This window comes from Homo sapiens, chromosome 8 (genome assembly GCF_000001405.40).
Source record: "Homo sapiens chromosome 8, GRCh38.p14 Primary Assembly".
Classification (NCBI taxonomy): Eukaryota; Metazoa; Chordata; class Mammalia; order Primates; family Hominidae; genus Homo; species Homo sapiens.
In genome coordinates this window covers 118736738-118751322 of record NC_000008.11, presented here as the reverse complement: position 1 = coordinate 118751322, position 14585 = coordinate 118736738, and the positions used below count along the sequence as shown (strand labels likewise).

Here is a 14585-nt window from a genome sequence, read left to right as displayed (position 1 = left end):
ATTTCCATACATTCTCTGAAATCTAAGTGGAAGTTGCCAAACCTCAATTCTTATCTTCTGCATACCTGCAGGCCCAATACCACATGGAAGCTGCCATAGCTTGGGGCTTGCACCCTCTGAAACAATGTCTTAAGCTATACCTTGGCCCCTTTTAGCCATGGCTAGAGCAGATGGGATGCAGTCCCATGGCTTCACAGAGCAAAGGGCCCTGGACCTGGCCCCAGAAACTAATTTCCCTCCTAGGCCTCCAAACCTGTGGTGGGAGGAACTGCCTTGAAGGTCTCTGACATGCCCTGGGGGCGTTTTCTCTATTGTCTTGCTGATTAACATTCAGGTCCTCATTACTTATGCAAATTTCTGCAGCCTGCTTGAATTTCTTCCCAGAAAAATGGGTTTTTCTTTTCTATTGCATCTCCAGGCTGCAAATTTTCCAAACTTTTATGCTCTGCTTCTTCTTGAACACTTTGGCACTTAAGTATTTCTTTGGCCAGATACCCCATATCATCTCTCCCAAGTTCAAAGCTCCACAGATCTCTATGGCAGAGGCAAAAAGCTACCAGTCTTTTTGCTAAAGCACAGCAAGAGTCACCTTTACTCCAGTCCCTAACAAGTTCCTCATCTCCATCTGAAACCACCTCAGCCTGGACTTCATTGTCCATATCATTATCTGCATTTTGGTCAAAGCCATTCCACAAGTCTCTCAGAAGTTTGAAACTTTCCCACATCTTCCTGTCTTCTGAGCCCTCCAAGTCTCTAGGAAGCTCCAAACTTTCCCACATTTTCCTGTGTTCTTCTGAGCCCTCCAAAACGTTCCAACCTCTGCGTGTTATCCAGTTCCAAAGTTACTTCCACATTTTTGGATATCTTCATAGCAGGACCCCACTCTCTGCAGTACCAACTTACTGTATTAGTCTGTTCTCATGCTGCTATAAAGAACTGCCCAGGACTGGGTAATTTTTAAAGAAAAGAGGTTTAATTGACTCACATTTCCGCATGGCTGGGGAGGCCTCAGGACACTTACAATCAGAGTGGAAGGCAGCTCTTCACAGGGTGGCAGGAGAGAGAATGAGAGCCAAGTGAAGGGAAAAGCCCCGTATAAAACCATCAGATCTCATGAGAACTCACTCACCATCGTGAGAACAGGAAGGGAGAAACCACCGCCATGATTCAGTATCCCCATGGTCCCTCCCATGGCATGTGGGGATTATGGGAACTACAATTCAAGATGAGATTTTGGTGGGGACACAGTGAAACCATATCACCATGCTTAAAGAGAAATTTATATTCATACATTTAAAAAGAAAAAAATGTGAGAATCAAAGATCATATTATCCATTCAAGAAGTTAGATGTGCAAACTAAATGCTACACATGAAAAAAGGGAAAAAATGAAATAGAAATTAATGGGAAAACATACAGTGAAGACAATGGACACACCAAAAGTTAGTTCTTTGTAAAGACTAATTAAACTGATGAGCCTCTAGTGAGACTAATCAAGAAAAAAGAGAGAAATGGCACAAATAACTGCAATAGGGAGAAAAAGGGACAACCATTACTCTTTCAGACATATGAAATATAATGATGACATTATGCAGCTGCCAGTTAAATATAGGAAATGCAGTTAAATTTGAATTTCAGATAAACAATAAATAATTTGTCACAAATATTGTTTATCCGATATAGATCAGAATAATTTTATATTGTTAAAGATATTGAAACCATAATTAAAAATCTTTTCAAACTAAACTAAAAATATTCCAGGTCTAGAGGGAATCACTGAGAACTATATCAACCATTTTAAAAAGAAAGCAAATGATTTCCGATTCATTTTATGCAACCAGCATAAACTTTATAATAGGCCAGACAGAACATTATAAGAAAAAAAATTCTGGCCAATTTCTCTTTTGAAGTAGTACAAAAGATATATGATCTATAAAGATTAAACAGCTCAACAAAGTTGGGTTTATTCTAGGAATGAAAGGTTAATATTTTGGAATCAGTCAATGTTATTCACCACATTAACAAAATAAAGAAAAAATATTATTTAATCTTACATAGAAAGAAAGCATGTGGTAAAATTCATGTTGACACCAGGATGTTCTGCCTATACTTTGTTCTGACAACAGTGAAGACAGTTGGTATACTGTGTGTGTTAAGTTATTGCAAGTATGTATACTGATTGAATTAGCAATTTCAGACTTGTTGCAGTTGAAAATAATTTCAAGTTGATAAAAGTGCCAAGTTGGAAATAGTTTAGCTGTGATGTGTCTAAATTATTTGGAGAACTATATTCACATTCCTAGAATCACAAAAATATGTTAAAATAGGAAGGGTTTGGTCAGAGTCAAACAGGGCAAAGGTCTCTAAAAAGGTGATCATATGTTTGCTGTGCAAAACTAGCACCACGGTTATAAACCTCTGCCTCCTGTCAATAATATTACAAGGAAAAAGCCCCATGCAAATGAAGTGAGCAGTAAATTGGGTGGAATAGACTGTACTCTCTGCCTAGTGGAGAGGTTTGAGAGAGGTAATGGAGAATTCACAAGTGTAAGCACACAGGACTTTAGTCTTGGGTTATACAAAAGAGAATTCAAGCCTGCATGCTCATTGTAGAAGCCTGCCTGCACAGATAAACTAAACATGCTAACACTCTTGTTGGCATGCCTGCTGTTCCAAGTGGCCTCTGTTGCATGGAAGGAAACCTCAAAACTGGTAGGAAGCTCTGTCCCCTGGTATGGTGGTTTTTGCAGATTGGCTTGGGCTCCCAGCAATTGAGGCAGCCTTTTGGCTTCATTACTTTTGGTGGGACTTGAGCCCACCTAATGGGTTAGGATGAATAAACAGAAGACTCAACGTATACCTTTAGATTTAGAGAAAGTGGTTCTTTCTACATTATAAAGATCACATTGTATACTCAACTTTATATTTAAATATTTTAATTTAATTTTGTATTATGAAAATTATTTCCTTTGAGGCCAGAGTTCCTATCATAGTTTTCCTGATGCCTGGCACTCAGTGTTGAGTGAATAAAAACAAGTTCAATATTAAGAACAATATTAAAAGCCTGTATTTTATGAATATAAAGGTTTAAATGGGTAGGAGTCTTTCAGGGAGCATTGAGTAGAGCTGAATAATTTGAAGTTGAAGAGTATTGGGCAGGGGGAGGCAGCTTAAACTTGGATCTTTCTAAACAACATTCCCTGTTCAAAAAGCTTCCATGGCCCAACTCTGCCCATTGCAATGGTTTTCAACTTCTGTTCATCAGAACCCAGGAATTACAGAAAAGTAGCTGAGGATTCCAGGAATGGCTGGGATGGGAAGGGAGGGGGAAGTGTGTGTGAGTTAATGAAAAGATCAATGAAATGTTTCTGAATGTTCATTCCTCCTCCAACCAGAACAGCAAAGTATTTATCAATTTTTAATGCATTAGTTTATGGAGAATATTTTATGTGGAAAAAAAAGGAGTTCGCTTGCTTGATATGAAAACCACTGACTGTTTAGTAGTACTCTATTATACAGTTGGTAACAAGGAGACTGCAGACACCATTTAATGAGCTATGGCAATGGCATACAAATGCAAAGACAGTAGGTTGAACACAGATGGAGTGACAGAACTGGCTAGATGCTGCCCAATCCTGTTTCCTCCTCCTCTACACTCAGGAAGAATAGATTTTCCAGCCCTCTTTGCAGTTCAGTTAGTACCATATGGCTGGATCTGACCAACTGAATGTAAACAAGAGTGATGCATGCTATTTTCAGGCCAGTCCATAAAATATTTTGTCTGATCTTCAACATTTTCTCGTCTCTCATTTTTCCTTCTGTATGCGTTAGTTGTCACTTTGAAGTGACAACATGGCAGAGGCTCAACATGGTGAGCCCTTGAGCTTCTACTTGCAGACAACCACCCAGGATTGCCATCCAATCAGGAGCTTCCATATTTGACTGTGCTGGGAAGCCACAAATTTTAATTGGGTTAAACCACTGAGATGTCAGAGTTTAATTGTTACTATAGAATAGCCTAGCCCAGTATGATCAATCAATACGGTGAAAGACTGGAATACTTTACCTAGCATAACTGGCATCTGGAGAATCATTTTAATACCCCATTTTTTGATAGGAAAAGAGTATTTCATGTAACACATATCGCAAGAAAACCTGGTCATATAATAGAAGCAGGGTAGTATTTTTTCTTTTATACAACTTAATTTATTTTTAAATAAAAATATAATGCCTTAATGTACTTTTAAATAAAAATAAAATAAGAATATAAAAAGTAATAAATTAATTGTGTTAATTGCAATGCTGTGTTTTTTAAAGGGGAAAATATACCTAAATATTGGTCCATTATAATAGTAAACAATAAAATTGCAGTTTCTATTATTTTCTCCTTCTTTCTTTCTTTTTTTTTTTTTCTTTTGAGAGAGAGAGGGAGAGTATTACTCTATCATCCAGGCTGGAGTACAGAGTACAGCGGTACAATGCTTGCTCACTGCTGCAGCCTCAAACCCCTGGGCTCAAGCAATTCTGCCTCACCTCCCAAGGAGCTAGGACTACAGTCTCGTGCCACCATGTCTGAGTAATTTTTTAAATGTTTTATGGTGATACGGTCTCACTTTGTTGCCCAGGCTGGTTTCAAAGTACTGGCCTCAAGCAATCCTCCCACCTCGGCCTCCCAAAGTGCTGAGATTACAGGCGCAAGCCACTGTGTGAGTCTGGTTTCTGTTTCCAGCCTTAACTATATACAAATCTTTCAGAAACTTTGTCAAAATTAATTTTCTTCACATATTCATGTTCAATAGACAATAAATGCTTTTTTGTCCATCTATTCCCTGGTAGTTGATGAAAGAACATGTTTTATTAATTTTAATCTCATGAAATTTCTTTCACATGAAACAGCAGAGATACAAACAGCTAAGAAAATTCTTAACCTAAGTCTAATCCTGGCAACTTTTCATAAAAATTCCGTTTCATAATAAATTCCAGAAATCACATACTTCTCATATCTTTGTTTTTTTGGTATCATTCTAGTCCCTTTCAAATATTTTGACAGTCAAAAAAATTCCCCTAAAATACTTTCAGCAGAAATTCATCATAAACTTCTATTACATCTAGTAAAAACTTCTCTAAGTCTTCCTTCTGCTTTAGAACTAATGTCCAAATCTTGGTGAAAATGATCAGGACATTCAGACATTGACTTCTGATTTCTTCTGACAATGTGAAAGTGGCATCTTTGTTATTTCTATGGGCAATTTTTTCTGATCTGATTTTTTTCCCATGTAATGTCCAATTCCTTACATTTTTCATAGTTGATAGCCTTTTCACTATTTCTATGCACCCGTCTTCCAGCAACAAGCTTGAAGCTTGTTTCTGGTACATCATTAAACCATTTCTGGCTGTCTGCAAACATTTTTGTGTCTGGTTAACTTTGCCCACAACTTCAAACCAGAAACAAAATATAATTCAGATAAGAAAAATTACTATAGCTATCTTTGTTTATCTCCAATGCATTGTCTAAATACAGGAATATACAGTATCATGGGGGTTGAAAATATGAACTGTACCAGAATTAAGATTGAAGGATTCTGAACCATAAGAAACTTCCTCTGGAAATGAATGTGGTAGCTGAGTCCACATGTGTGGGAGGCCAATTGCATAGCTGGGAGTTGTCACAATTAACTTCCACAGAGAATTCAATGTTTATTAAATAAGTGATTTAAATGTGCTAATTTGAAGCACGCATATATATTATTGAAACACAGCTGCAATCACAGCAAATGTTTGCAAATTAGACCAGAAAAAGATCTTTTCATTAATGGTACTTAAGAATTTCTGAGCATGGTGACTATTTAAAAGCAGATTAAATTTTAGTCAATTTTATTGCGTATTTAAGTTATGTATGGGTAATGTACCCCCTCATTGTCTGCACCCCAAATGGACTGTTTCCACTGTCCAGACCTTGGCTGGAACACTGAGGACATATGTATCCGACCTCTACTCAAATATGGATGGATGATCATATAACTATCCAATTACTAGGATGGAAAATAAGCAAACCCTCAACCTTCAACAAACATAGAAAGGGCAATAGGAACAATAAGCTGCGAATGCCTTTATGGTTTTACATCACAGTTTTGCAGATAGCTCTGCAGATAGCAACTATCTGTAAATAGCTGCAGATAGTTATACAGTTTATGATAACCCATTGATCATAAACTGTGTAATGACACAGTATTTCCAAAGGAATTCTTTATAGTAAGAATAAGAATTTCCACCAGATAGAAAAGAGACATTGCACATACAATAGTGTCACACTTAAATCACTTATTTAATAAACATGGAATTATCTGCAGAAGTTAATTGTGACAACTCCCAGCTATGCAGTTGGCCTCCCACACATGTGGACTCAGCTACCACATTCATTTCCAGAGGAAGTTTCTTATGGTTCAGAACCCTTCAAGCCTGATTCCGGTGTAGTTCATAAGTGGCAATCATAAACTGTGTAATTCCACAATAGTCCTAGTTTCAATATTTTCCTGGGAAAAGAAACATTTTGAGAAATCCCTGACCTGTGTGGTCCATTTTCATGGTACTTGAGGCTTCTTTCTAACAATAGATTGTGGCCATTTTCCTTAAGCAAAGCTTTGTTTCCACAGCTTTGCCGGTCTCAAAAGACCAACTCAAATATAGAGAAAAAATATGTCTTTTGCTCAGGTACAGAAACCACATTGTAGGTCAATAAATAGGAATGTCCTCTTGATACCATTTAACCCTACACCTATCCCAAAGTCAGCACAACTTCAACTAAAAGCAGAGCAACCACGTAACTAGTGGGAAGGAGAGAGTAACCAAAACCATCAGGGTCATGGTGGAAGAAACTCAGAAACGCATGATGAGGTAGAAGTTGGGATGCCCGCAGTACATCAATGTCTCCTTTCCGTCTGGGGGAAATCCTTATTCCTACTATCAATAATTTCTTGGAAATACTGTGTTACCTCTATGGGAGAAAGAAGAGCTCTTCTAAGATTTCTAATTTCACCTTGGAGTTTCTTCTGTTTTTCCTCTACCACACTCAGCCACCCCAGAAGCAGTTAATCCTCCTGAAAATAAAATACTTTTGCAGTTAGTCGTTTCCAGTCTTATTTTCTCAGCCATTCTGCTTTCATGCCAGCTCCCTGACTATGATTATATTGATCCATGTATCAGTGAAACAAAGCCCAGCATAAGCTCAAGACCTTGGGTTGTCCACCTCATAGCTCATTTTGACAGACTTAGCTAGAGGTTTGGGTTTTTGTTTGTTTGTTTGTTTGTTTTTCCCTCTGTTTTGTTTCCTTTTTCAACTAAGAATATCTTCAAGTTTAGGGACAAATTTATAGACTTATGTAGTGAGTTCTCTGGAATTCATCTCCGTGCTAGTTACCCCTCCTGCCATGGCACAGAGCACATCAGACCCTTCCTCTGTGAAAAGGACAGATTCCTGGTGTTCTCAAGCTTAGCTGATTGCCACAGCGTGGTGTGGTGTGACTGCCATCTGCTGGCATGGGGCTGACATTACAGGATGGTAACCATGCACTCCCTGGTAAAATAATCAAGAAGTACTTGTTTGGAAAACAAAAGCTTTCTCTGGAGAAATGAAGAACAAGTTTTGTTATAAACCTTGTCCATCTTCAACACCAAAAAAAAAAAATTCTTTTACTCTGGAAAAGCTAAAGAAAAACAGAAAATTGGTTTATGGCAGACTTCCAAGTGTTCAACACAGTGAGGAAATGGGATTATCAGCTACTACCCTTATGACCACAGCAGAACCCAGTAGCATAAAATGAGAAACCAAACCTCACTGACTCCAGCAACAAGTTCCTACCTTGTGAAGCCACTTGTGTGTGGACACTAACACCAATGACAGGTTGAGGGATCTTCCTTAAGATACTGACAATGTCTGTAACATTTTTCTCTTTAAAAGATTGTGTTTTTTTGGAACCCAAGTGACCAAAACATAAGCACTGACATTTAGGGGATGAGAGACTTTTTTTCTCATTATAAAAGCCATGCCTCAATGTTTAAGGATCAGAATCATGCGTAAGAGATGTTTATATGAGCTCGCCTTTAAAATCAGAGCCAGGCACTTTTGCTCAGTCCTGACTTTCTTTCCAAGTCTTATCTTCAGGATGTGTGGACCTGCACAATTTGTGGCAATGGAAGCCAAGTTTCTATTGCTGACTTCAGTGGGCGTTGCTGCTTATTTCCATGTCAAAGAATGGGACCTTGTATAATTGTGAATAGACAACAAGGAAGAATTTCCCATAGAGAACACCCTGATAGCGGAATAAAACTAAACTTCTTGAAAGGGCTTTATTCATTGTAGAAGCAATAAAGTCAACACTGAAGGCACTGTCTGCTGTTAATCAACACAAATTTCTTCATTAAAGCCTATGGGAACTGAATCAAATTTCAAATTTTATAAAACCAAGGGTATATAATAACTATTATATTTCTGCACTTATACAAATGTAATTTTTCTTATCCCCAAATCCTGTTTCTCCCCCAAGCTTCCCCATCTTATAAATGGCCACACATCTGCTCAGTTGCTTGAACCCCAATTGTACAAAATCATCCTCGCAAGCTCTACGCTCTCACTCACCAAACCCAATCCGTCTCCATGTCTTGGCAGCCCTACCTCAAAATCCAAAACTATCTCCACCTCTCTTTATCTACAGGGGCCAGAGGAGTCCAAGAGTCCAGCCCACTTTCATTTTTCTTTATCATCTACAACCATAGCCTATTTAATGGTCCCAGCATCCACTTTTGCCTCTTCATCTTCAATTCTCAGCAGCACAGTTGGAATGATCTTTCTAAACTATAAACCTCCAGGGATGACCCAGAGAATAAAACCTGAACCCCATAGCATGGTTTACAAAGCCCTTCCATAATCTTGCCTCTACTTATTCTTCACTCTCTCAGCTTCCTCCCTTCCCACAACTCAATATACTGCAGGCACTCTGGCCTTCTCTCTGTTCTTCCAACTCTCCCAGGCTGCTCCCACTTAGGAGTTCAGATTTGCTTATTTCTCTGTATGGCACCATATTCTTGCACGTCCAGCTCCTTCTTTTCATTTCAGTGTCACAGAGAATATCACTGCCTCAGGCCAGTACACCTTCCTGAGCACCCTGTGAAAATCAGTCCTTTCCCTTCTGGATTTCATAACTCCATTTTACTTGCTTCATACCATTGATCCTATCAGCAATTATCTTGTTCCTTTTTTTTCACTTTTTTACTTATATTCTAGTATTGGAATGTAAAGCCATGAAAACAGAGACTTTGCTATCTCATTTAACATTGTATCACCAGTACTTAGATTAAATCTGGCTCATATTAAATACTTAATAAATACACGTAAAGGAAGGAATGTGTGTGCACATTATCCATCTAATTACATTTGCCTATAATTAAGGTTTTCTCTTATAAGGAAGAATAATTGGCACCTTTTTAGGAAGAATCTCAAATTGGATCATGTGTAAGAGCTTGAGCTCTGATATCAAGCACTATTGGTTGGTGTCTTAGGTGAGGATAACCAGTATCAGATACTGAGAAAGAATTTGTGTGCAAATTGTTCATTAAGAATGGGATCTCCAGGAAACTTATAAGGGACAAAAAGAAGGAAAATAAAGTAGGGAAGAAGCCAAGGATGGGCATGACCTCAAGCAAAAGGTTTGATGAGGAAAAATACAGTCCAATCCCAGTGGGGCATGCTGGAGTGGAAGTTACCCCTCAAAATCATCTCAATCTGAATCAAGCATGCTGGAGTTTCATAATCCAGCCCAGGCAGGCATTGGCTAAGAGCCATCAGGGTGGGTACATGCTCCCAGGCCCTGCTTGTGGGCAATGCAACTCTATTATACCCAGCCCCACCACTCTTCGGCACTCTGACTTGGGGTATGTGGAATAACGTTTCTAAGAATGAATTTATGAGTAATTTTCTCTTGGAAAATTTTGTGCATTAAATGAGATAATGCATATAAGAGAACTTTGAAAATAGCTATTATTTATGATCTGGTTTTTAAAAGCAATTTGAGGGTTAAAAACAACATCTAGGAAATTAGGTTCTTACTTAGGAATAGAAACTCTGGTATATTGTCCAGTCCTATATATACAAAATTGAAAATAGAAGTGGGGAATGTAGGGAGAAACACTGCATAGTAGACTTAGGAAAATAAAAAAGCAACATAGCATCAATACGATGCTCACTTTTGTGAATATACTTGTAAGTTTTCTACGGAGACCTCTTAGGGTCCTGGAATATTGGCAGAAAAGAAAGAAGTTTGGCTTTCTGAACACACAGGAGGTGAGAGGTCCAACAATTTTCAGTTCCTTTAGAATAAGAGAAGTGGGTTCTGCCACAGTGATAACAAATGGATGCAGTCATCTAAAATATTTATGTTTGCACCCAGAGAAACTATAAACAGTTATTGGCGTCAGTTTGGATTCGTCAGCATGTGTTGTCAAAAAATAACTTTGATCTTAGAGAGAAAAGCAGCTGGAGCATCTTCAATCCCAGATGTGATCAGAGCCTGTCTACTGGATAATTTAAGAGAATTCTGCAGTCTGAACCAGCTTCAGAGAAAAGTGAGTGAGATTTACTTGCCATTTTTTCTTCGATGATGGTGAGATCTATTTAATAAGCTTGGGTAAATGCTCAAGTAAATGGTAGAATTTGGATCTGGGAAAAATCAGGCAAAACCACCAACCCCCATGACTGCTAGAGAGACCAGCACACTGAAAGGCAGGGGCCTGAGTCACTCATGGGAGAGCGGAGCTGATACCTTGACACCAGCTCTTCACACAAGAGCACGCACACAAGTGGGGTCGGTGGGAGAGAGATCAGTTCTTTACAGAAGATGAGTGACTGCCAAAGATGCAAATGGTGGCTGCCTAAGATGCCAATATGGCCAGCCACACTCACTGTTTAATAGGGTTGTTGTTAACATGAAATAATGCATGTGAGGCATTTAATACACTGTTTGGCATATAGTAAAAGTCTAACAAATATTGTTATTTTTATTATTCCTATTTTACAGCTGTTGAAGAGTGAGGATTATGAAAGTTTTTTTTAATTCTCAGAGATCAGAAAGTTGATAAGTTGCAAAGCCAGAATTTAACCCCTAGAACTTTTTCACTCAAAAGGTCATGCTCTTACCCATCTTTCTGATGAAGTGGTTTTTAAGTGACCTGTATAAGTCAGATTTCTCCAGAGAAACAGAACCACTAGGAGATAAATCTTAGAGAGAGAGAGATGAAGATAGAGATAGGTGTATAGGTATGAAAGGCATAGCTGTAGATAGATTTATTTTAAGGGATAGGCTCACAAATTGTGGGGGGTGGCAAGTCCAAAATCCGTAGAGCAGGATGGCACCCCAGAAATTCCAGTAAAAGTTGATGGTGCAGCCTTAAGGCTGAAGACAGTCTGGAGGCAGAATTCTTTTCTCTTCGAGGGACCTCTGTCTTTGGTCTCAAGACCTTCAACTGACTGGCTGAGGGCCACTCACATTATAAGGGTAATCTGCTTTACTCAGAGTCTACTGACATCTAAAAATACCTTCACAGAAACATCTAGATTGCTATTTTGACCCAACAACTGGGCACCATAGCCTAGCCATGTCAACACATAAAAATTAACTGTCACATGAGACAACAGATACAAAAGTGATGTGCACAAAGCACCAAGTGCTAGAAAAAAAGAAAATATGTTATTATTACTAAACGATAGGCCTAGTACTACCAGCATACTTTGCCTTGCTTTTCAATTCATTTTATGTTTTTGCTCACATTGGATGGAAAGGCTGAGGGAGCTGGTTAGTCTATTATAAACACGGACTCTAGAAAACCTGAGAAAGAGAATAAAGAGGTCACTGAAATTTTTACAGGCAAAACACAATTTCTGCCAATGCATAAATGTTTGCAAAGTGTTGCAAGATTACTCTATATGTCTTTAATTGCCATTCACACCTGAGGGTGAATAGCTCCTTAAATCACACAAAAAAATGAGTGTCCAAATTTCTATCATGATTCACCATTATTATGTTTATTTTAACTATGCTATTAAAGTTAAATTTGTGAATTTTCCTCCTCCACAATCTTTCAAAACTTCTGTTGGTGACAGGACAAAATAACTAATTGAATTAGACAGCACCATGCAATTAGGGATGCCTAAGCCTCACCATTCCTACATTATTTTCCTGGAATTTGAAACTTTTGAAGGTTTACTCAAACCAAGAAACAAAATAATGATTGTACAAGAAGTCCCAAATATACTTTAATGAGCTGACAAAGAAATTCATATTATCTGTCTGAAATAATAGAAGGTGTTTGAGAGTGGTTTACTGCAGAGTAGGGCTAAACTGCTCATCCTAATACTCCAAAAACAGAGGAAATTTTGCTTTGTTAATTGTTGCAAAAGGTGCCATTTTAAAAAAATTATCACAGAGCTTATGGCATTGGTGAAGTAGAAATAGCAACTGGCTTTCAGAGATACAAGACATGAAGTTGCCTCCGGCAGCCTAATAATTTGAAAGCCCTTTAAGCCACTAGTCCTAAAATAGGTTTAACTATGTGTTTGGAGAAGATTCGGAGCTCTGCCTAAAGAAAGGAGGTCATTGGAGCGCCCTGGCCAATTTAGTTCTGACCCTCTAACTTGCATCCTCATTCAGATGAAAAACAGAAGCCCTGAACTGAACTAGACTCCCTTTCTTAAAAGGCAGCTTAGTTAAACACAAATTGTTACCCCAGTTTTCTCATTAAAACAGTCCCCCAAAATAGCTTAACAAAAATCCTATTCAATCACACACATTATTTTCCTGGCAAGAGTTCAGCTAGATGCTATTTTCTCCATCTAATTCTCTCCCCAAAGCTGTTTTAGCAACGTATATTAGTCAGGGTTTGATCAGAGAAGCAGAACCACTAGAAGATTTATATAATAAGAGATTTATTATAGGTATTTGGTCTTAGATGATTGTGGGCTAAAGAATCTATTGAGCTATAGCTTCTGCAGCTGGGAAAGTCAGCTGGGGCTGGCAGTTGGGCATGGAAGAATGTGAAATGGAAGCAAGCTCAAAAGGAACCCTGCAGGGCTGGGCTGGAACCTGTGAGAATGGATGAGAATCTGCATGGGACTCTCACTGCCTCTGAGCCTTTCACTTGGATGATGGGAGTGAAATGAAGGAGGAGTGGCCCCCTTTGTCACAGAGCTAAACCTACACCTGACCCATGAGTCAGAAAAACTAAGAGGGCTGGAGTTCTACATGCCCACAGGTAAGCCAGCAAAGAAAAGACAACATGCATTAGAGACAACAACATTTCATGGCCTGGCTGACACTGACCTCTTGGACATAAAATAAAAGGAATGTCACTGCTGTTTCACTTCCACCTTTTCACTCTTGTTCAGAGCATCTTTTGTGGTTCACCCATCCTGGCGCTATATATGGAAGGGAATTCTGGGACCATCAGTTCCAGGTTAGCAAAACTGATATACTATGAATCCATCACATACCCCCAGGAAAATGTTTGGCTGGTCCATCTACAGATTCAGCTATCAGTTAAAAAGAAGTTTTGTGACATCAGGATGTAAGAGAGACACAAGAGAATATTAACACTGGAATGACCTCAGAGTCAGCCCATCCCGAATTTTACAAATGAGTGAAAATGAAATCCAGGAAGGTGTGGAAACTTGTCTCAGGTCTCATAGTTGCCCAGAGGTAGTACAAGAAAGCCGTTTGCCTGCCTGCTAAATCATTATCTGTAAATCCAGAGAGATACATGAAGAAGCAGAAATTCCCAGATAAGCCTACCCCTGGTCAGACACACTCAGGGTCCTTGAAGCTGCATTTAGGAACATGTGAATATGTAATAAACGTGTGGCCTCAATTGCCTCATTTAAAATAAATTCTCAGTAATAATATTCTCAGTAGAAATTAAAATTGTTTTTTAAATTTTTTCTCAATTATTTTAATTTGTGGTGCCCTTATGTAAAAAGGTAGCCTAAATACAATTAAGGTTTAGGTTAAATTAAATTTGATATTCTAAATCTTAGCCATAAAAAAGAGGTATTTTACATAACATTAGGAACATAGTTCTTGGATTCATATAGCCCAAACTTCAAATATGAGCCCAACCACTTGCGAGCAATTGGGCTGGCAGCAGGTTCCCTAAACTTTCAGAAATTATTTCTTTTTTTTTTTAAGTAGAAATTAAAGTGTTTTAGGACTAAATGAGATAATTCATATATAACATTTACTACAGTGACACAGGAATAGAAAAGGCATCAATATAGGAGCTATTAATTATTATCATTATTATTGTTGTTATAAATGACACCATTAGTAAGGGTGTTACAGTAAATCATATCCATAATTAATTACTATTAATTAGTATTATTGATAGTAATTAATCACTAAGAGTATATTAGACCTAAAGCACTGAATGCGATGCAAAATAATTTTTACATTTCTTCCTGAAAGAATAATTTATGTGATTCCTTCAATAGGTCATATTAATGAAACTAGGGTTTAATATAAAAATAACCTGATTTTATCACCATAT

General features: G+C 38.1%; 1 annotated feature.

Moving 5' to 3' along the window:
• Positions 12907 to 13420: an enhancer, noted in NCBI's record as "OCT4-NANOG hESC enhancer chr8:119750142-119750655 (GRCh37/hg19 assembly coordinates)". NCBI's record gives its function as "activates a minimal SCP1, AML or CMV promoter by ChIP-STARR-seq in primed H9 embryonic stem cells {active_cell/tissue: H9 hESC(primed)}" and the evidence as "EXISTENCE:reporter gene assay evidence [ECO:0000049][PMID:30033119]".